The sequence below is a fragment of the Homo sapiens genome, chromosome 8 (assembly GCF_000001405.40).
Source record: "Homo sapiens chromosome 8, GRCh38.p14 Primary Assembly".
Classification (NCBI taxonomy): Eukaryota; Metazoa; Chordata; class Mammalia; order Primates; family Hominidae; genus Homo; species Homo sapiens.
Genome location: NC_000008.11, coordinates 138,600,556 through 138,622,728, shown reverse-complemented (window position 1 = coordinate 138,622,728; position 22,173 = coordinate 138,600,556). Strand labels below are relative to the sequence as shown.

At 47.7% G+C, this 22,173-nt stretch overlaps 1 protein-coding gene across 10 annotated transcripts in view; it reads left to right on the top strand.

The window, feature by feature from the left end:
* The window catches only part of COL22A1 (collagen type XXII alpha 1 chain), a 325,807-nt gene that overhangs the window by 291,313 nt on the left and 12,321 nt on the right, over window positions 1–22,173 (top strand). For all 10 annotated transcript variants that reach the window (XM_017013150.3, XM_011516886.4, XM_011516884.3 and 7 more), the window contains 8 exons: window positions 3,221–3,274; window positions 5,771–5,815; window positions 6,675–6,728; window positions 8,809–8,862; window positions 14,740–14,793; window positions 16,277–16,348; window positions 17,960–17,995; window positions 20,570–20,614. In XM_017013150.3, coding sequence (XP_016868639.1) covers window positions 3,221–3,274; window positions 5,771–5,815; window positions 6,675–6,728; window positions 8,809–8,862; window positions 14,740–14,793; window positions 16,277–16,348; window positions 17,960–17,995; window positions 20,570–20,614 — 414 coding nt within the window. The remainder of the gene's footprint in view (window positions 1–3,220; window positions 3,275–5,770; window positions 5,816–6,674; window positions 6,729–8,808; window positions 8,863–14,739; window positions 14,794–16,276; window positions 16,349–17,959; window positions 17,996–20,569; window positions 20,615–22,173) is intronic.

Genomic DNA, 22,173 nt, shown 5'->3' with positions numbered 1-22,173 from the left:
CAATGTGTATAGTCTGTCCTATTTTGTGTAAAAATAGTTGTGGGCCTATCTTTTTCTAGTGTTTATCTAAAGGAACTCTGGAAGACTCCATAAAACCCGCATAAAAGTAGTTCCTGTCCATGGGAGGATGATTGTCAGACAAGGGGACATAGCAGTAGGAAGACAACTTTCTTTTCCATGGTATTTTATTTTACTGTTATCATCTTAATTTTTGGAGCCATGAGTATGCATTACTTACTGATAAAATTAAATTTAAAATATAGTGATTAAATAAAAATATTTTATGCCAAAATTACAACAACAACAATAATAACAATAGCAATAAAAGCTTGCTTCGGATTCTGGCCCCACTCCTTCCCAGGTTTTGTGATCTGGGTGACTCAGAAAGCATCTATGAGCTTCAGTTTCTTTTGAAATAGAATGAGAATAATATACCAACTTGCCAGAGTTGCTGGGTAATCATATAATGTAGAAAATGTGTCAGATGCATCAGGCTTATCTAACTGTCAATGATTTTAGTAAGCTACTTTTCCCAGCTGCCCTAGTTGTAGCTCCTGGTGAGGCTAGAACTGCAGAGCCTTTAGAACCACTAAGGGGAGTTCCATAAAAGTTTCTACAGTGAGGTTTATGTTCCATTTAATTTGTTTGGTCATAAACTATTATGACTCATTCTGAATCTTACACAACTTGCTGGAAGCACCTTCTTTATCATTTTACACTGTTTGCCAGATGCTGAAACCAAAATTCATTGCTGAGAGCAAAAGAAAGAGCTTGTAGCAACTGAGCAAATTGAAAAGTCTCAACGAGCTACTGTGGACTGACACCCAGCAGAGCTGCCCATGATGGGCAAATGACATTCAGCCTGGGCAAAAATGTGGCAAGGGTAGAGAGAAGCACACATATCACACTGTGGCTGACAGCAACTGCGTGTGTGCCTAGGGTGGGGCACTGAGCACTTCATTACATTTTTCCACTGTAGTCCCCAGAAGAACCTTATGGGCTGTGGGTACCATTATTTCTCCCAGATGAGGAAACTAAGGCACAAAGAGGATAATAGCTTGATCAAGGGCATAAAGCTGGTAAATGAAGCATCTAGGACTCACACTCCTGCAGGCTGACCCCGGAGTTCACTGCTGCAGAGCAGTGCATTGACCTTTCTGCAGAACGTGTATTATGCTGAGAGGCTGTTGTTTACAGTTCAGAATAACTGAGGACACTGGTCTTCATTCAGTCTGTTTACTCAATGCCTATTTTGATGCAGGTAGAGTATTTAGGAGGTGATCCCCTGAATCAGTGAGGGAGGGAGGAAGAGAATGGAACAGAGAAAGAAGGAAAGGCAGGCTGGCAACTGGTAACTGCAGGCTGGCAACTGGTAACTCCAGGCTGGGGCCCAGCCTCACTGGCGATCCTCTGACTGCTTCTGGAGGCATTGACTTCCCTGCACTTGGGCCTTCCACACCTCAAAGTCAAGTACCCATTACGGTCAGGGAACATCTTCATTCTATGTCCACCCTTCAACCTATGCAGGAACTGCTCCACAAGGAGGCAGACACCTCCCTGGGTGGGCCCCAGGGGATGTGGTTGGAAAATGGCAGCATCTGCTACAGGTACTAGGTGGCCCCTCTTCAAGTTGAGTTGCTCATTCAAAGTTTGTATATGGGAGGGGCACAAATGGATAGACAGACCAGCCAGATAAATAGAACATAGGATGGATGGATGGATGGATGGATGGGTGGATGGATGGATGGATGGATGGATGGATGGATGGATGGATGGATGGATGGATGCTTGGTTGGTTGAATGGATGGATGGATGGATAGATGGATACACAGATGGATATATAGACAGCCTTTTGAGTTGCCTGTTGCTTAATTTTTATTAAGAGATATTTGAGCATTAATTATACTGTAGGATGAAGTGCAGACTCTGGAACCAAAATGCCTGGATTAGAACCCCAGCTGTGTGACCTTGAGCAGATGACTGAACCTCTATGTGCCTCAGTGTTTTGCCTGAGGGTTAACAAGAGTCAGGCGTCAGTGACATCATAGTGAAAACCTTCAGTAGCTGCTGGTTGTTCCATTTTTCTACTGGTGCCTTGGGCCAGTGATGGCCATCACAGTTGACTCTGAGGCAGGAGCCAGGCTATGTACACCCTCTATCACAAAGACCTACAAGGGAGGACTGTCCCAAATTTACAGATCCAGAGATCCGGAGAAAGGAAATGGCACTTTAAGATCACACAGCTAAACTAAGAAACAGACAAACCTGGAAGTCAGGGCTTTAGGCCCCACCCTTCTTTCTATAGTTTTTTTTTTTTTTCTAAATCCAAGGATGTTCCTTTCTCTCCCCACTCCCCAATAATGGGCTGCATATGATTTCCAAGGTTTAAAACTTGTAAACATGAGGTGGACAGAAGGTTTGGGAACAGGCATGTCTTCCAGGCCCAGCTTGCTGCCCCTTCTGCCCACCCATCAAACTTAGCCTTTCATCAACTTTCCTCTGCCCGGCCTCCCCTCATTCTTCCACTGACCCCATCTTCAATTTATATGAACCTGAGTTGGCAAGCCTCTTATTGTCTTCTGTTCCTGGTTTGGTTCTGTGCAGGGCAATGCCAAGCTGTGGGCAGTAAAGAATTTTAAATAGCAAGAGTGTCCTGACAAGCTCTTTTAAGATGATGGGGTGAGGAAAAGGCTGTGTACGTCACAGGTCGCCCTGCCAGTAGGTACTGCAGCTGACCTGGAAAGAGCATCCGCTTAGGTGTGGCGCTCAGCTGGAATTCAGCCTGGCTTTGCTATTTAATACCTTCATAAAAATATAACTTTGAGCCTCAGTGTTGCCATCGGTAAAGTGCAAGTGTTAATAGCGGCCTTGACATGGTTTTTGCAAGTGGGCATAAAGTCGTCTGTAACTAAGATGGCCATATAATTTCTCATCCACACCAAGATGCTTCTGATAGTGAAAGGGGGGTACTAAGCATAATTAATTTGGAGATGCAACCTGTGTAACCAGCACCATCCCAGGAAACCCAGGAATATAATAGGCCTGAATACATGGTGGAGATTTGTGTAGATTAAGAAGGACCAAGACACCAGGGGAAAGGGCTGACAGGGTGGATAGAAACTGGCTTGTGGGAATAGATTGGTAGGAAACACAGAGAGCCAGGAATAGGAAGATTCTTACAATGTTGTCCTCAAACTCTTCTTTTCTTCCTTACTCTCAGGGCAAAGCAGGAGAGCCAGGTCTACCAGGACCAGAGGGTGCCCGAGGCCCACCTGTAAGTGTGTAGTGTGTGTGGGGAACGGTAGAACCAAGCCCATCAGCTACATGGCTCTCACCACTGTGAGCAGGGCTAGCCCAGACTGCCCAACCGTGGGGTCCTAGAAGTCCTTCTCCTCCAGACGGCTGTGCTTCTGTGCGGTCAATTCAGCTTTGCCACACTACATAGCTGCGAAATTCATTTTCACAATTGCAGCCATGACCTTGTTGTTGCTCAAAGTTTTCTATGTTCTCATCTGATTCATTATAATTTCAATGGGTTTTCTCTGGATAATAGAACGTAAAAATGAATCTTAATTTTAGTTTTGAACACTTTCCATAGCTAAGGTTTTTTTTCCCAACTATAAAAGTAACCCATTCTCATAGCCTAATGGTATTAATAATAATGATGATGGTAATAATAAGAAAAAGAATACAAAAAATGGTATTGAGAAGAAAATTAATTTACTTCTAATTCTATAACAAAGAAGTAAAGTTTTTAATATTCAGTGTATTTTTTCTAGTCCTTTTTTCTATATATGAATTCTAGCATCTATATATGTACATCTATGTCTAGCTATTATACATATAAACAGACACAGATATTGTTTACCTACAAAAATGAACTCTATGTATTTTAGGGTTATTGGGTTTTATGCTAAATGTTTCACCTCTTCATAATTTCAAAATTGTTTTCACAATTTCTTAAATTGCTTTTAGAAAAAAATATGATTTTAAATGATTATCCTAAAATTATCTGGATTTTATCTAGCAAATCAAAATCCTAGCTCTATTTTCTTAATGTTTTTCTTTTAAAAAATCAACCTCCTGGCTCGTATTCAATAAGAAGGAAATAAAATACAAAAATAAATTTTCTGTTCTCTTAAATCCCCTTGTTTTTCACATGATTGCACCAGAAAACACCCAAGAATGAGGAATACGACCTCTTATGGGGATTGCAACACTGAGCTAGTGATCAATTTATTAAAGGTGGTTCTTGGCTTATTGGAGTGACAGGGGCTACATTTCAGCCAGGAAACCCATGGAACCTGTATTGGGGGCAAGACCCATCTGTCAACTGGGAGTTGTAATGAAAGAGCTGAGGTTAGAAAGCCAGGCAGGGAAAAGAAGACCAAGCTCCTCTGGCTGACATAGAATAAGTCAGGACAAAGCTTTGTAGAATGGAGTGGGTTTTCAGATAGAAAGACCTGGATTCAGCCTTTACTTTGTCATTTATTGACTTTGTGACCTTGATTGCAACGAGGACCTTTCTGAACCCCTGTTTCTTCTTCTATGAAATGGCAGTCATAATAGCTCCCATTCTTGCAGAGTGGTCGTAAGTACTAAAGGAGAAGGTAGGACATGTAACGTTCCCAGCAGAGTGCCTGACAGGCACTCTCTCAGTTGGTGCTTTTGTCATGATTAGATGGGAGGAGAGCACACCAGAGTCTCTTCCTCTGGGCTGGCTGAATTTGGAATTCTGGGGTCCTTGAGGAAGATGCCAAGCCCCAAGAAATCCCTAGCCCTTTCCAGGGAAATGTAGCTGGACTGTTTTGAATAACTGGAGAGCACTGTGCAGTCCTTATTCAGTCTTATTCAGTCCTGACAGCAACTCTGCAGAAGTAGGTTCTAGCCTAATTTTACAGATGTGGAAACTGAGTTCCAGAGAAGAGAAGTAGAGCTTCCAAGATCCCACAGCTGCAAAATGGGAGCCATGGTCCCATCTCAGACCTAACTCACAGTCAGCCCAGTTGCATGAAACTTAAGAGCATATGGCAATCCTTTCCACAGATTAATACTGCAAAGCTATGCCAGGCGGGCATTTTTGTTATCCTTGAGCTTTAGCTTTACATCCACTAAGTGCAGATTTTCACACAGATTGGCCTGGAGGTTAGAAATGATGGCCTCAGCTCTGCTAATGGTTTAATCTTCACTCACAGGGCCTGAAACTCTGTAGTGGTGCTTCAGGTAATATGCCTCCAAGTTGCAACTCTGGACAAGGAGACCCCAGCACTATGGCCCGGGATGTAGCTCCCAGAGCTGAACCTACTCAGGGGTGTTGGTAGGACCAGCAATGGCCACAGGAACAAGGAAGGGGCCACAGGACCTAACTCTGGGTGAAGGTGATGTTCCCTACAAGGGAATCACCTGACTCAGGAGCCGTGCAGAGAGGGGCGGGCCAAGCTATATGCTGTAAGCCTGGAACAATCAGGAGGAACAAGGAGAGCAGGAGACACCTGAACCAGTAGGGCAATGCCCCAACACTCTGAGGCATTTGTGGGATGAGCCCTGGCAGCCCTTCCCACAGCATAGAGGGGGCTGGGAAGAAGGGCTCTTGGTATCCAGTTGTCAAACCTCTGGCACCGAGCATGGCACCAAGTAGGGCTCAGTATCCTGCAAATGGTAAAGAATGAGCGGGGGCAACGTGGGTCAAAGCCGGCAGGGAGGTATGCCTGCCCACTTCTGCCCCAAGAGCCTGCTCTATCATGGAATAACTCCATTCTCTTCCTTCTAGGGCTTCAAGGGACACACAGGCGATTCTGGTGCACCCGGTCCCCGGGTAAGTGGGCGCCTCACTTTGGAGGTCCCCCCAGGTGGGCAGAGCTTACACTTCCCAGACAGAAGATACTTGCAGCCTGCAGGCCATGGCAGTGCCTTACCCGAGAGAGGACGTGGAGCACACCAGCATGGAGCAAGCCAGCACAGGGACACCTTTGAAGCACCATGCTCACCTCTTGGCCTAATTCCCTCAGGTGGTTTTTCTGGGGGCCAGACATCATGGCCAACCAGTTTGGCCAAATAAGTCTGGACTCAGGTGTGTCACGCATGTCAGCCCTGAGCCTTGTGAGGTGGTTGTTGCTATTAGGTTCTTTTTGCAGAGGAGGAAACTGAGGCCCAGAGGACATGGGTGATTTCCCAAGGTCCTAGAGCTTATAAATGGAAAGCATCACTTTTACCCCAGATGGGAAGACTCCAGAGACTATTTTCTTATCCTTTAACTCCTCTGCCTCCTCTGAATGCCCAGAATGGAAGTGACATTATGGGTCAGCTGGTTAGATCCCTTGCATGATCTAGATACCAAGGAGCAAGCACAGGTGTAGAGAGGGTCAAGTGGATGAGCAGATAAGGAGGCAGCATTCCAAGAGTAGATGCCAGAGCCTTCAGCTGCTGTTCTTCCCTGCTTGAGCTGCACAGAGAGGCACAGCATGGCTCCAGGCACTCACAGCTGGCCTTGGGTGCGCCACAGACCTCAACTCAGGGCCGCCACAGACCTCAACTCAGGGCTGGGGCTCTGCGTATGGAAGTTGACAGGGCCCCTGGGCCTCTCCACCTCTCCCAGCTCCTCAGGTGCCCCTGTGGTTGAGACAGCCAGTGGCTGAAGCATCTCCTTCCCTAATAGCAGGCTTTTTTGTTCCTAGGGAGAGTCTGGTGCCATGGGGCTTCCTGGTCAGGAAGGGTTACCAGGAAAAGATGTAAGTGGGGTCCTGTGGGACCTGGCTGGGCTGGGGCTGGGGGTGGGTGTATCAAGGAAGTGACACCCAGAAACTGCCCCACAATGGCTGGTGGCAGCACTGCCAAGAGGCACACAGATGACATCACAGGATTGGTTGGCAAGGATGAGATTGGCGCCTCCAACCTAGTGGGTGGGTCCCTGGGCTTTATGGTTGATAAGGAAGCTTTTCTGGATCAGTCATGATTTGTCCATTGGTACAAATGATAGGCCTGTTGGATCCAGCCTTAAATGGACTTGAGAGGCATTTCAGAGTTTCTCGCAGATTATTTCTCCTTCTCTCAGGCTCTGCAGTGCTCAAAGAAACCACACACCCCTCACCGCCACCACCGTGTGCTGTGTTAATTGTATACCACTTGAATGGCTCTCCCTTTTATTTGGTGTTGGGATCTTGGCAGAACAAGAAAAAAAAAATTTTTTTTTTTTTTTTTTGAGATGGAGTCTCACTCCGTCGCCCAGGCTGAAGTGCATTGGCGTGATCTCATCTTACTGTAACCTCTGCCTTCAGGGTTCAAACAATTCTCCTGTCTCAGCCTCCCGAGTAACTGGGACTAGAGGCACCTGCCACCATGCCCAGCTAATTTTTGTATTTTTAGTTGAGACAGAGTTTCACCTTGTTGGTCAGGCTGGTCTCGAACTGCTGACCTCAGGTGATCCACCTGCCTCGGTCTCCCAAAGGGTTAGGACTATAGGCGTGAGCCACTGTGCCAGGCCAGAACAAGGGAAATTTTGACCCCAGGTGTACAAATGAAAAATTTGAGATCCAGAGAGATAAAGGGACTGACTTATGGTCACCCAGAGAGTCAGAGGCAGGAATAGCTTGCCTGGAGCCCAGAATCCACCAGCTCCACATCCCCCAGGGACCAGCCCTTTGCATGTGGCGTCCTGCAGGGTGGCTGGACGTGTGAGATGCAGAGTGGCATCATGGAACTGGCCGATTGGTCAGATGCAGAGGCACCAGGTACTGAGGTACAAAGTTGTCTCATGCCCACCATGTGGGTCCTTCAGAGCCTGCCTTTAAATTGATGAAGTGGACTCTTCCCCAGTGGCTCTTGACACACCGGAGCACGTGGCCCCTGTGGCTGATCTGCTCCCAGGAATGATGGAGCTGGAAAGGATACTCAGGAGAAATCTGACCTAGTTCACATGTGCTTTCTTAGCTGTGGAATCTGTCTTATAAGATCAGTGTGTGGAGCCCTGTGCATACACCTAAAAGTAGAGCCCACCCCAACCCCACCCAAAAAGGGGCTTCTCAGAAGCTGAAGGGCAGCTTGAGAATCGTGATACAGTCCATCCCCTCCCCCTGCACTTCAGTTTGTAGAAAAGGTGATGCAGGGTGCTACCCAGGCAGGAATGTGACTGAGGTCAGCTCGCCCAGTACATAGGGCTAGAGCTGGGATGGGACCCTGGGATGCCAGGTGATGGGCTATGCTTCCTTCCCTCCATCTTAGCCATTTGACTTTTATTTTAAAAATCCATTTTCTAGAGTGTTTTTCAGTCTACTTTGTGTAGAAGCATGTCCAAGTTTCTGATTTTTTATCCATCACAGGGTTAGGATTATGCCCCGTCACAGGGCCGCTTGGAAGACTCTGCAAGGTGGTGGTGAATCACACTGCTTAGCAAGCTGGCAGGTCCTATGCACCTGGGTGGCATGGGTTTTTCACCCTGGTGACTCAGACATGAATGGTTCCAGGTCACCGTCTAGCGAATCAGGAAAAGAACTTCAAGAGAGATTCTCTCCTCTGATTGCTTATCTTATTTCAAGATGGAGCCACCTGAAACCCCTGTGGGACCAGGTGGAGGATGTCTAAGAAGTAACTGAATAAATGGATGCACAAATGCGGGCCTGCGTGCATTTACTCACCCACAGGAAGGGAGTTTGTCCATATTTGGAATAATGGACAATTAATGATGAAACATGCTGGACAATTTGTTGGTTCCTTTGGGTAACTTGGCGAGGTTTGGTTAACATTTGAAATTGGGATGCCATCACCTTCACACAGTGACTTGATGATGACACCATCTCTCTGTCTTTGTTCCAGGGTGACACTGGACCCACTGGGCCACAGGGTCCCCAAGGACCAAGGGGCCCACCGGTGAGTTTTGCTTTGCGACTAATGTGCTTCATGTTATTACAGGACCTTTTACCACAATGATATTTAGTTAGTTCCCTCTGGTGCCACTGTATATATTGTTAAAAAATTGTAATATGTTTTAGCAGTTGGTAAATAGCTGCCCCCCTAAGTCCCCCTAGTCACCTCCCCCAACACTCAGATTCTTTTCTGGGACCATCCCCCACAACAATATAAAAATTACAAAGGTGCCACGGGGCACTGCTGGAGCTCTATAGGACCTTGCCCCGAGGCTGTGCTCTAGCTCTGGGCCACACCAGGGGTTGGTGCTTGCTAGAGGTTAGTTTCCCGAGGCTGCTGTAACCAAGTACCATGAATGGAATGTGGTACGTGGCAGAAATGTGTTGCCTCGTGGTTCTAGAGGCCAGAAGCCTGACATGCACACCAACAGGGTTGGTTCCTTCTGAGGCTGAGACAGAATCATTCCAGGTGTCTCTCCCAGCTTCTGGGGCTTTGCTGGCTCTCGAGGGCGTTCCTTGGCTTGTGGGGCACCACCCTGGCCTTTGCCTTCATCTTCACATTGTGTTCTCCCTGCTTGTGTCTCTCTCCAAAAATCCCCCACCCCTTCCTTTTTTTTTTTTTTGAAACGGAGTCTCGCTCTGTCACCCAGGCTGCAGTGCACTGGCGTGATCTCCGCTCACTGCAAGCTCCACCTCCCAGGTTCACGCCATTCTCCTGCCTCAGCCTCCCGAGTAGCTGGGACTACAGGTGCCCACCACCACGCCCGGCTAAATTTTTATATTTTTAGTAGAGACGGGGTTTCACTGTGTTAGCCAGGATGGTCTCTATCTCCTGACCTCATAATCTGCCCGCCTCGCCCTCCCAAAGTATTGGGATTACAGGCGTAAGCCACCGTGCCCAGCCCCTGCTTTTTTTTTTTTTTTTTTTTTTTTTTGAGATGGAGTCCTGCTGTGTCACCCAGGCTGGAGTGCAGTGGCGTGATCTTGGCTCATTGCAACCTCTGCCTCCTGGGCTCAAGCGATTCTCCTACCTCAGCCTCCCAAGTAGCTGGGATTACAGGTGCGTGCCACCACGCCGCTGATTATTTTTTTATTTTTTTATTTTTAGTAGAGATGGGGTTTTGCCACGTTGGCCAGGCTGGTTTCGAACTCCTGACCTCAAGTGATCTGCCCCACTTGTCCTCCCAAAGTGCTGGGATTACAGGCGTGAGCCACTGCGCCTGGCCCAAAGTTCCCCTTTTTATAAGGAATCCAGTCCTTGTTGGGTAAGGGGCCCACCCTATTCAGTATGAACTTATTTTAACTAATTACCTTTACAATGATCCAATTTCCCAATTCGGTCACATTCAGAGGAACTGAATGTTAGGACTTAAAAATTTGGGGGGGGCACAATTGAACCCCATAGCATTCCATATGATGGATACATATCTGGATGTTATATCTGCCTGTTTGTGCACAGAGGCAAATCCTTCTCTTATCTAAGAGCAGCCTGAGAGGATGGAGAAGGTCCAAAATAGATATTTAGGTGCCTAGTGCTGTGCAAAGAGAAAAGCATAAATTATCCCATTTAAGCCCAGGGGCCATCACAGAAAGGCAGCTTTGATATCTGTGTCTCTCTATATATTATCAATATAATTCATGCTCATTGTAGAGGCAATCAGACAGAATTGAATGTTACAAAGTAACAAGAAAATTCCCTTTTCACCCCCACCCAATCCCACCCTCCAGAGGAAGCCACTGTTAGAAGCATTTTGTGTATCTTTTAAAATATTTTCAATATGCCTACAAGCATATAGAAGACACATTTTGTACCCAACGCTTTATCTTTCGCAACTGGCTTCTTTTGTAAAGCTTGTATGTTGTGTGTTTTTTGAATGAGTAATGGAATAAACAAGTGAATGAATATTGGCTTCCCAAGTCTAGGTCATGCAGCTTGTAAGAGCTTTAGGTTGGTTTAAGACCAAGACTTTCTGATGCCAAATCCTGTATTCTCCACCCTACTGTGGACAAGCATGGGCTTTGTCTTTGAGATCCTAGAGAGGGGGTGTGTGGCAGGTCCTATGAGGTTGGATGTCCCTTCTTTTCAGAACTTAGCAGGTAGAGTCACAGTCTCCCCTGATGGGGCCACAATGACTCAGATGAGCTGAAGCCCAGGCTCCCTGGGTGTGAGCTCTCAGTGGGGTGATATCAACCCCACGGGGAAAACACTGATTCTTGAGGTGTCAAAGAGTGTGTGTCAAATGCAGATATGGATACAGCACATAAACAGATGTGTAGCTTAGCTGTGATATTAAAACTTCATACGGAGAGATTAGGAAAAAATGTGTAAAAAGGCAACTGGGGAGGGAGTGATAAGGACAAAAATTTGAGAAACCCTGCTCCAGAGCCCCCCAGGAGTGGGGTGGTTCTGACTGGGTCCCCCCCAGCTCCCTCACTGGGCTTTTGCATCCAATTCTGGAGTTCAGCCATCTGGGCTTGATTTCCTCCTCTCCTGTATTCATCACATGAACTAGGTGAGTTGCTGCACTGCTCCCAGGACTCAGTTTTCTCATCTGTAAAATGGAGGCAATCTGGACGGAACAAGGAGGCTGTAAGAATCCAGCAAGGTAATCCAGTGAAGTGAGACAACAGTGCCCAGCCCTTGGAATGTGCCCCAAGCCAGGTCTTCTCCATTTCTGGAGGCAAGAGGGGCCTTAGCTCTGCTTCTCTCCCTGGCCTCTTGGCATAGGGCAGCGATCAAATTCTTGATGAGTGCAAACACATTCAAAGGCACAGAAGAGGGAAAGCGAAGTGACTTCTTTTTTTGAGACAGGCTCTCACTGTGTTGCCCAGGCTGGACTTCAGTGGCATGATCACGGTTAACTGCAGCCTCGACCTCCTGGTTTCAAGCCATTCTCCTGTCTCAGCTTCCCAAGTAGCTGGGACCACAAGTGCATACCACCATGCCCAGCGAATTTAAAAAAAATGTTTGTAGATATGAGGTCTCACTATGTTGTCCAAGTTGGTCTCAGATTCCTGGGCTCAGGCAGTCCTCCCATCTCAGCCTCCCAAAGTGCTGAAATTATAGGTGTAAGCCACCATGGTTGGCTGGAAAGTGGCATTTGGAGAGCAGAGAGTACTCAGAACAGGTGTGTGAGGTGGAAGACGGCAGCTGGCCTGGTGAGATTGTGCAGGGCTTCACGTACCACATGCGGGGTGGGGCATGGCCCTGAAATCCCAAGGCCCCCAGAGGCCGCTGTGTGGTTCTAGCTTGCTCCTATCAATTCTCGGGTACATCATAAGGAATCTGATACCAAAAATGAGCTGCTGAAGTTTGCCAAATATCTACTTTGTTTTTAAACACAGAATAGTTCCGAGTTCTTTCTCTGACAACCTCATTTTTACTCCATTGAAATTTCTGTGCTTTTCTGAGCGAGGAGAAGGATTCTGGCAAGGTCACACAACTTTGAACTAGACATTGAATATGTATAGAGTGCTTCCATCAATAGTTGTGATGATTGCGAATGTATGTGTGGCCTGAAAACTGTCATTTTGCTTTCTCTAAAATCTACAGACACCCAGAGGTAAGAATAGGCCATATGGCAACCACCTCACAGCCACTAGTTTCCAACAAGCACCAGTGGAGTGGTGCATTTACATGATTCATTCATTTTCTCCCCAAACCCTGTGAGACAGGTGTGATTTCTGTCCGCATTCACGGATGAGAAATGGAAGCACAGAGAAGTCTAGTAACTTGCCCAAGATCACACTGCAAGTCAGTGGCACAGCCAGGATTTGGACTCCAGCATTCTCATTCAAGAGCCTGCAGCTCAAACACCCAGACTGGCTGATGTGTGCTAGAAGTCCTTGTCACAAAGATCATCCTGGAAGGAGGGGTCTTAGAATAGGAGTTTGGAGCTCAAAAGGGTTGAAAAGGGGAACTGTGGTTTCCATTCCTGGGAAGCAGAGATCCAAGGGGCTTGGCGAGGGACAGCAGGACACAGGAGTGGCTCTGCAGCCCAGGAGGGAACCAGGTTCCAGCCCCAGTAGGCCTCAAGTGCACAGAGCACAGGCACCCACCCAGAACCACCCTGCCTTCTGTGCACATGGCCTGTGTTGGCACCGTATGCTACTGTGTCTTGGCCCTTATCCTCTCTGCAATGTCTTGGCCCTTATCCTCCCTGCGAAGGGAAGATTAGAGAAAGAAGGAGGAGGGCTAGAATTTCCATAGGGATAAGGCAAAGTACATATTTTTAGAGGGACACAGATGGGTTGGTGGGCGGAGGAAGGTGCAGGGAGAAGCGTTATGCAGCGTTCGCGGAAGGGCCGAGTATGGGTAAGCAGTCCACAAATCCAGCTGGCTGCTCTGATTTTAGACCTTACTAGCTCAGCGATCCCTGGCAGGTCTGTGATGGGGATTCTGGGATATGGGGAGAAAGACGTCTGTGCTGCATGATTCCCAGCAGGATCCAGTGACATGAGGCCATGGCCATGCATGTGCTTTGAAGGCTCAAGGTGGAAGCTGTATTTATGATCGCTGACCCATAAGGCATGTCCTTAAGGAGGGGCAGAGCAGTGTGAGATGGAATCAGTGCTGCCTATGTTCAGATCTCAGCTCCTTGACTTGCCTCGCAGGCAGGTGGCTTAGCATTTCTGAGCCTCAGTTTCCCCATTTGTAAAAGGGTGATGATGTTTGTGTCTGATGTGAGCAATGAGTGAGTTAATGCATGCAAAATGCAAAGCTCTTAGAAGAAGTCTGGCATGTAGGAAGTGCCCGGTCAGCATCAGCTACTTTATAGTGGAACATGCTTCCGTGAATCCAACGCATTTGTGAATGCATGCTTCGCACATTAGAGGGCATTCACACCTCTTGGTTAAAGGATCAACGGAGAGTGATTCTCTAGGATGTCCTTGGTTTATTATTTAGCAGGAAACCTCCTGTGTGTCTGGCACTGCATTGGAGACACACAAGGAGGCTCTCTCCTCCTAGGCTGGAAATCCAAAGAACGACAAGGCGTAGACTCTGCCTTTGGGTTACTCGTGGTGGGAAAGAGAGCCAGGTAAAGACACAGCAGCCAACGGGAATGTGCCCTGAGTGGGGGAGTGTGGTGGGCAGAGGAAGAGACGAACACAGCCTGGGGAATTGAAGCTGTGAATTTTTGGCTTCATAGAAATTTGTCTGATCCTGAAAGGGAGTAGCCAAGAACATTCTTGAGCTTTCTTGTTTTTACTCTACTGGGATCCTGTTTGTTAAATGTATTCACCGAAACTATGAATGTGCACAATATATCTCTGTGAAGTTAGAGAAAATTAGACTTGGAAGCCTCAGTCCTGGAATCTGGAGTGAATGGACCTTCCATTTTGTAGCTGCATGACTCTGCACAAGCCATTTTTCTTCTCTGTGCCTCAGTATCTACGTATTTTAAATGAGAGTATAATGATCTCCTTAGTCGGGGAGTACAAGGAGATAAGTGCATGGACATGCTTCCTAAGCTGAGACCAGCACTGTGGCAGTGTGAGCAATTATGTGTAAGCTGGGTTGTATTAGATGGTTTGTTTGTTCTTCAACACAGCAACTGAATGGATGGATGAATAGATGAATGAATGAACGTGGTCATAATTATTTACTATGCCTCAGCTGTGGGCACCATTCACCAGGCTAGACTTTTTCATGCCCACGGACTCATTTGATTTCACAACAATATTATGAATTAAATATTACAAGTTCCTTTTAGAAGTTGAGAAACATCCTCTGAGTAATGAAGTGGTAGACTGAGAGCCACACTGGCTAGAGTAACAGATTCTGTGTAAAACCAAGTCCTGTGCATCAGTCTATCTCTTTGTTCCACCGTCCTGCTCTTTGATGCCCTGGCAGGATGATTACCTCTGTTTCTTCCACCAGGGCAAGAATGGATCACCGGGATCTCCAGGAGAGCCTGGCCCTTCAGGAACCCCTGTGAGTTCTCTTTGGCTGCTATGTGATGGCATCAGGGTGGGCTTTGAAAGGGCTTGTGGATCACATTACAGATTGTCCAGCCTCTGTCCCTAGAAGCATCGGTGGGGACATATGGGTTTGAGTGGTAGAAATAGGTTGGAGGTAAGAGGCTCCATAGGGCCATTTTTTAAGGTTTAAAGTATATATCATGCGATTGGCTCTTTGTTGACTATAACCGTAGGCATCTATGGTCTACATCCATAGGCACCCAAAACAAACATTTTTTAAAAAAATGTTTAACAAAGTTGTAGGGTAGAAGTTTGATGTTTCCAGAGGATGGGAGGATGAGGTCAGACTGAGCAACCCTTACCACCTCAAATGACAAAGTGTGCAGCATGGGAATGGAGGTAGGGACGGGGGTGGGAGACAAAAAGGATCAACAGGTAGGTAGCAGAGAGAGCTCAATGGGCAGGCAGTAGAGAGAGGGTGCATACCAATCAGCAGAGTCCTGGTCAGCTAGATATCAAATACAGGATTTGGGGTTCAGTCCTGGTAGGTGGGGAGACATGGTGGGGAAGATGGTTCTTTAATGGGTTCTAGGGTTGGATGAGAAAAGCTCTGGCCACTAGTCTCCTTCCAATCTAGTCTTCTTGTATTTTTACTTGCTAAAATTGGCTGCCTGACTCAGAAGGCCACCTGCAAGGTGTGAGCCAACTGTCAATTGTACCGGGCAATGGGCTGACCAGGACTTGGTACTTCGGATACTGCGGTGACCAGCTCATCTCAGTTTGTGAGGAACTTTCCCAACTGGAAAATCCTGCATCCTGGGAAACCTACTGGTTCCAGGCAAACTCGGCATCTGATCACCCTAGCGGAGACCCTCCTCTTGTTGGACTAGGGACAGCTATGCAAAAGGAATCCAACTTCCTAGCAAACATAATGACCTCCCTCAGGGGCTGTGGTATGGGACCTGTTGCTGCTTGTGAGACAGAACAGAGGAGGTGGGATTGGGTCAAGAGGCTGGACCCATCACCTCCCCTAGTGCAGAGTTGATCCTGGAAGTACTGACCCATGCATGATGGCTCCCCAGAAAAGTTGAAGTTGAAAAATTCCCAAAGTCCTTTCCCAAAATGTGATTCTACCAAGTGAGCTTTGGCCGCCTCATGGGCAGTGGTATGCCATCTCACTAGAGCACTCCTTGGAGAGCTCCACACATCTCAGGGTCTTTGTTAAATATCTGTCTCAGTTTGTTTTCGTTGCTTCAAATGGAAAGACCCTTGGCTGTTTACAGGGAGACCTCATCTTCTTCCCCTGGCTGTGACAGCACTACCAGGAGTCCCAAGACCCCGTGTCTTTTCCTAACCCATGCCCCTCCATCATGGGAGGATTTGTGTGTTGTGTGGATGTCTCAGGCCTTTTGATTTCAGAGTGGTCACAAGGTTTCCAAATCTGCTTGAGTTGGTACGTGACCTTGAGGAATTAATTCTCAGTTTTCTCTTTGCAGGGCCAGAAAGGAAGCAAAGGGGAAAATGGCAGCCCAGGACTTCCTGGCTTCCTGGGTCCCCGTGGGCCTCCGGTAAGCAGAGAACCCCAGTGGGGCCCAAGATACCTGGCTCCAGGTAGTGATGTTCACATGCAGTACCTTCCCTGCCACCTCCTGTGTCCTCAGTTCTGTCTGCTCAGGCCATGATGACCTGTGTGGGGTCAAAGTTGCATCATGGTTTAAGAGACAGTGGAGTGCCCAGAGGTCACACCTGCATGGCAATCTCAGTGCCATCACTCCTTAATCATGAGATCTTAGGAAAGTGTCATAACCTCTTATGCTTTAGCTGTCTCATTATGCAAACGAGGATAACGACAGCATCTACTTCTGAGGATTAAATGAAATCATTCATATAAAGGGATCAGCAATGGTTCCTGACCCACTGCAGGTGCTCAATAAATACAAACCATTGTAATGATGCATGTGGTGGGACAATGGTGTTGATCATGATCCTAGAACTTGAAGGACCCCTGGAAATAATAGTAAAGGTGAGCAAGTTTGAGCCGTAGGGTCAGAACATGTAAGTGATTTACTCAAAGCCATGTGGTAGGTTTGCACTCCAGCTTGTCCTTGAGTCAAGGTCTCCTGACTTGACAGCTTAAGGCAGGGGGAAGCTGTAAGGTAATCTTTGCCAAGTTTCTGGACAGGGAGATGCTGAGGGATTCAAACATTTCCAAGTGGAGCCCTCTGGTGTCATCTGCATATTGCAGTCCACTCCCTGGACTGCTGACCTGATGAATGAGGCTTGCATGTAACATACCAGAGTAGAGAGCTTACCCATGTTCTTGTCCATACCCTCCAATTTAATTCTGACCCCTCTGCATGCCCCACTGCCAGCCAAGCCCAGCCCGTTGGAGGTGGTAGCCCCTCTTACCCTTCTCTACCATGCTGCCCAGGCTTTGCACGGTCCCATTCACTGATTTTTACGTGGGCTTATTCACTCCCTTGCTAAAGGCCAAGTCTCCTTCTCCATCCCCTTGTTAATAATCTGCTGCTACTGAGCAGCCAGGCACCCACTCCTGTGGATGCACTGCAGCAATTGCTCCTGAGTCATGATAAGAGTGGGGTGCTTGTCCAGCCCTCACTACATGCCTGCCACTGCCCAGTGTGCTTTTGGAGAACTAACACATTGACACCTCACAGTAATCCTTGAGGCAGGTACAACCACTGTTCTCATTTTACAGATGAAGACACTGAGGCACAGAGAGCTTATGGAAGTTGTAGGGAGGTTGTTTAAGATCACAGAGCCAAACAGTGGAGGAGCCAAGAATTGAACCTGGAGCCCAGTGTCTTATTGGTTTCTTGTTTCACACATTATGGGCCTACTTCTCAGAGAGGCCTCCTGATCACAACAGGACTATTTGTAAAATCGATATCCTGGAGGCCCTCTTGGTGGAGTCATATCCATCCCATTGACAAGGAGCTCTTAACCCGTGGCTCTTCTTCCTAACCTGGGGTGATTTTTTGCTTTCCCCTGCACAGGCTGGCCAGAGAGCCTGTCTGGGATGTCCTTGGCCAGGTAGACCATCGATTGTTGTCTTTGCTGGAACATGACTTGAGTGGAAATGTCAGTTTTAAAGACAGTCTTAGTACTGACATTGGGCTGATGCTGCAGAGCCACTGATATTCTGTTCTGTTTTCCAGGGAGAACCAGGAGAGAAAGGAGTCCCAGGCAAGGAGGCAAGTATCACACGCCCACTCACCCCTTGGCAACCCTTTACCACCAATGGGCAGTCTATGCAGGCTCAGGCCCTGGGCTTAGAAGGGCCCACACTTGCCTTAACACTCTCTACCTTCACTGTTTTGAAATTCTTAATGCCTTTTGAACACCTGGCTCATGTTTTAATTTTGCCCGGAGCCCCACAAATTATGTAGCCAGTGCAGGGGCACCGTCTTGGTATGTCTGTTTCACTTGTTTATTCCTCAGCATCCAAGCTATCAACAAATCCTGTCAACTCTGACTTCAAATACCTGTAGGTTTTGTCCAGTTCTCTCTGTCTCTGCCACTGGGACTCTGATCTGATCTGTCACCTGCTCTCACTTGAACACTGCAGTGATCCTCTAATGGATCTCCCTTTGTCCAGCCTTGCCCCTCCACAGTCTTCTACCCAGCAGACAGAGGGTCTGCTGAGCATAAGCATATGGAGACACTGCAGTACAACCTGCAGGTCTGCCCTCCCCCTGCACTCTCCGTGGAATCCAGGCTGCCACAGTCCCACCACTCCCCTCCTTCTCTAAGCTCTAGTCACTGGCCTCTTAGCTCCTGAGACGTGCCAAGTTCTTTTCCAAGGGCTCTCTTTTCCCATGCTTATTCCTACTCAAACTGAGGTCTCAGCTGAAATATTGCCTTTGCCAACTTTCCTTGACACTGAAGCAAAGCAGACCCCCCACAATGCTTGGTTTTAGCACCCTGCTCTGTTCTGCTGTAGCCCAGGAGACCAGCACAGACTAGATACCAAAAATATTTGATGAGAGATGAACAGAAGAATGACTGAATGCAGAGAAAGTAGGTCTATGGAAATTAGCTTCTCCGTTTCAAGGCCTGCATTCTCCCCCTTGAATGAGGAAGACGCATTTTTACCCTGTGCCTTTGGGTCACGTTCTTAACTTCAGGGAGGTGGTCACTTCCTTGAAGCTGAGTCGGATAGCTTCATATTCGGAAAGTGTTTACTCCTCACCCCAGCCATAGGGTGCCACTCACTGAGTGTATCATTCATTCATTGCCCAATCATTGTTTACTCTGCTTCCTGGAATGAGGTAAAGAGGAAATACCCGTAGCTCCCATTTCTGAGGGCTGCGTCAGCCCCATGTGCTTGTACTTGGGCTGCTGCCTACACGAATTCTCTTTGGACTTCTCGAATAAATTCTAGGCTAAGCAGGCATCCTAAGTCTTCCAGATATGATCCAGCTCTCCCCTTAGAATGGGAGCCTCCTGCTTCCTCATGCCCAGTATATCTCCACCTTCTCCCATCCAAGGCTTGGTCCTCACTCTTCCACGCACCTATAATGCCTTTCCTGCCGCCTTTTGTTGTTAAATTTTATCCAACTTTCAAGGCTCTGTGCTTCCCAACTTAAAGATTCATCCAGGAATACCGAGGCAGCTTTTGGTAATTATGTTACAGCAATTAAATCAGTCTGCCTTGTGTTAGAATCAACTCATGCCCACCGCCACCTCATGGACAGGTTGTGAACTCTGTGAGGATGAGGACCATGTCTTATCTCTGTCCTCTGCATAGGTCTCAGGGCTGAACATGGCACCTGCATGAAAGGGATGCGATGAATGTTTCTGGGGCTGAAATGGCCAGGCTCAGAAGAGCTCAAGAGTACTCTCTTTGACTTTCTTCTCTTTAATCAATGTAGAGTCTATCAACCAAGAGATGGGAAAAGAGCCCCCGGGCTGAATTTCCTTCGCCAATATCAAGCTCTGCTTTCCAAATGTGTGCTGTCTAAGAGGCAGGCAGACAAGCATACCTTGGTCATCATATCTGGGGAGAAAGAAAGTTAGGTGTCAGCTGGCAGGAAAGTAACCCATGCGTGAGAATGGACACTGGCCAGAGGGATTAGTCAATGCTTTAGAGAGGAGATGGCAGAGGAGCTGGGGGCAGAGAGGGAAGAAAGAGACATTCCAGGTGGAGACAATGACAGAAGCAGTGGGCACTGTGGGCCGTGTCCCTTGTTCCCTGACGTGACTGCCCTCCAGAAGGGAGTGGGGACTGTGGGAACATAGAAGAGGGCCACTTCTCTAAATGTTGGGTGATCGGGGGGCTTCCTGAAGAGGAGACCTGCAGGCCAGGTGGGAAGTAGGTATCCGGACAGAGAGGTGGGGAGCATGCTGCAGGCACAGGGCAAGACAAGGAACAGAGGCCATGAGACCGCAGAACTATCTGTCCCCTGCACTAGAGTCATCCAGGGCAGTGACAGCCTGTTGAAGACAACAATTCGTGCAGGGCCTCCTGGACATGTTAAAGGGAGTGGGGTTTATCCCACAAGAGGTAGGGGAGGAATCTGGAGGGGCCAACCCAGGGCTGGTGCCATCAGTCAAAGGTGGACAGTGCCAGGAGGAAAGGAGAGAAGGCACAGTGTGCCGCCCCCACCCCCACCATGTAGGCATAAATCAGAAAGGAGCCCTCGGGGGACCTTATCTTTTGAGGGTCCCTTGTCCTCAGCATGCAGGACTGTGAAGAATATCCAGCAAGGCAAGGACACCAGTGCAGAGGGCCCGGGGCAATGACTGTCCTTTCTTTCTCCTTGCAGGGGGTCCCTGGGAAGCCTGGAGAGCCTGGATTCAAAGGAGAAAGGGTGAGTGGAGAGCACAGGCACCTTGAACACGCCGAACGCGACCTTTGCACAGTGGCCACAGGATGTTGAGCCTGGCCTTTGTCCAAGGCAGTTAGTAAACACCCGCCTGGATCATGCCGCCTGTAGTGATTTTGTTCACTTTTTCCTGGATGATCACCAGCCCCACAAAGGGAGGTTCTTTTCCTCCCAGTATTGTTTGTACTTGATGTTATTATTATGTTTTTCCTTTTTTTCTTTTTGGTTATCATTTTAAGGACTAAAATCATCACAATTAGAGATTCAAAGGCAAGCCTTGGGAGACATTGACAGATTTCTTTCTCCCCGTGTGCGAATGCCCGCCGAGACGGGCTCGGCTCCCGAAGTGCCAATTTGCCAGGAGCCAAATTTGTCGCTGGAGGTGACAAGGGAACAGATTTTCCCATAATGAATTGCCTTGGCGTTATACTCAGAAAGCCTTTCTTTACATTTCATTTCTCCAAAAAACAAGAGGGGAAAAGACTTTTTTTTCTTTTTTTTCTTCTGAAGAGCCTGTGGAAGGCGGACGCGTTCTCACACTCACGACTGCTGCTCCCTTTGGAGGCTTTATGCGTCTCGTTTGCCCACAATCCTGCGTTTGGTCAGCCTCACGCTGTCACACTGTTGCACGACACGGACATGGACGTCCCAGGCACCCCCAGCCCACCCCCGCTTGTTTTCCATGGTCCTGAAAAGAATTTATCTCGGCTTTCTTCGCAAGTGGGGTGGGTGGGGAGCCGGCTGGCTTCTCCCACAGCCAGAGGAGTGAGAAAAGTGGGGGCAGAGTCTCAGGGATTCTCCCCCCTGGATCTTCCTCCTGTCTCCTTCCCATGACTTTGATTCCTCTATCCCGTGGCTGTTGGTTCCTGAGCGATGGAGCCAGGGACATGAGGGACATGTGGCTGAGAAGGCGTTGATGTTCCCCCCCGAGAATGCGACTCAGGCAGCCGTGGGAGCTACTGGCACAGGATATGGGCTTGAATTTCGGTTGAGAGCCAAGGAACTCAGACCACCAATGGCATCTCTTCTTTAATACCTAATCAATAGGCGGAGAGCTTGCCTTTTCCCTGTTAAGTGCTTTCATGGCACATTGCCAGGGAGCCATTAGACTACCCTTTTCTTTGTACTCCTGGGAACATTTGAAATATGGGATAAGTCCTGTCACCACAAAGTGATTGTGAGATATTTAATGAATAGAAAATTCTGTACCATGCATGAGATAGGGCCTTAGCATCCAGGTGTACAAATATCAGGACTTTACTAGACCCCTGAATTCAAGATCACTGACAGAGATTGCAACGTCCTGTGAAATGCATCACGCTTGGAAAATTGAAGTGACTTCTTTGGACCTGGCTACATTATTATTTTTGAATTCACTGATTTTGGGTTATTGTTGAAATATTAAAAGCAATACAGGTACATTGTTCAACAGTGAAAATTGCAGGACAAGTGAATGCAATGAAAACTTTGTGCCCCTTCCATCTCACCCCTTAGCCCCATCTCCTCTCCAGGGTCCATCACAGGGCTTTGGCTTTTTATCTTTT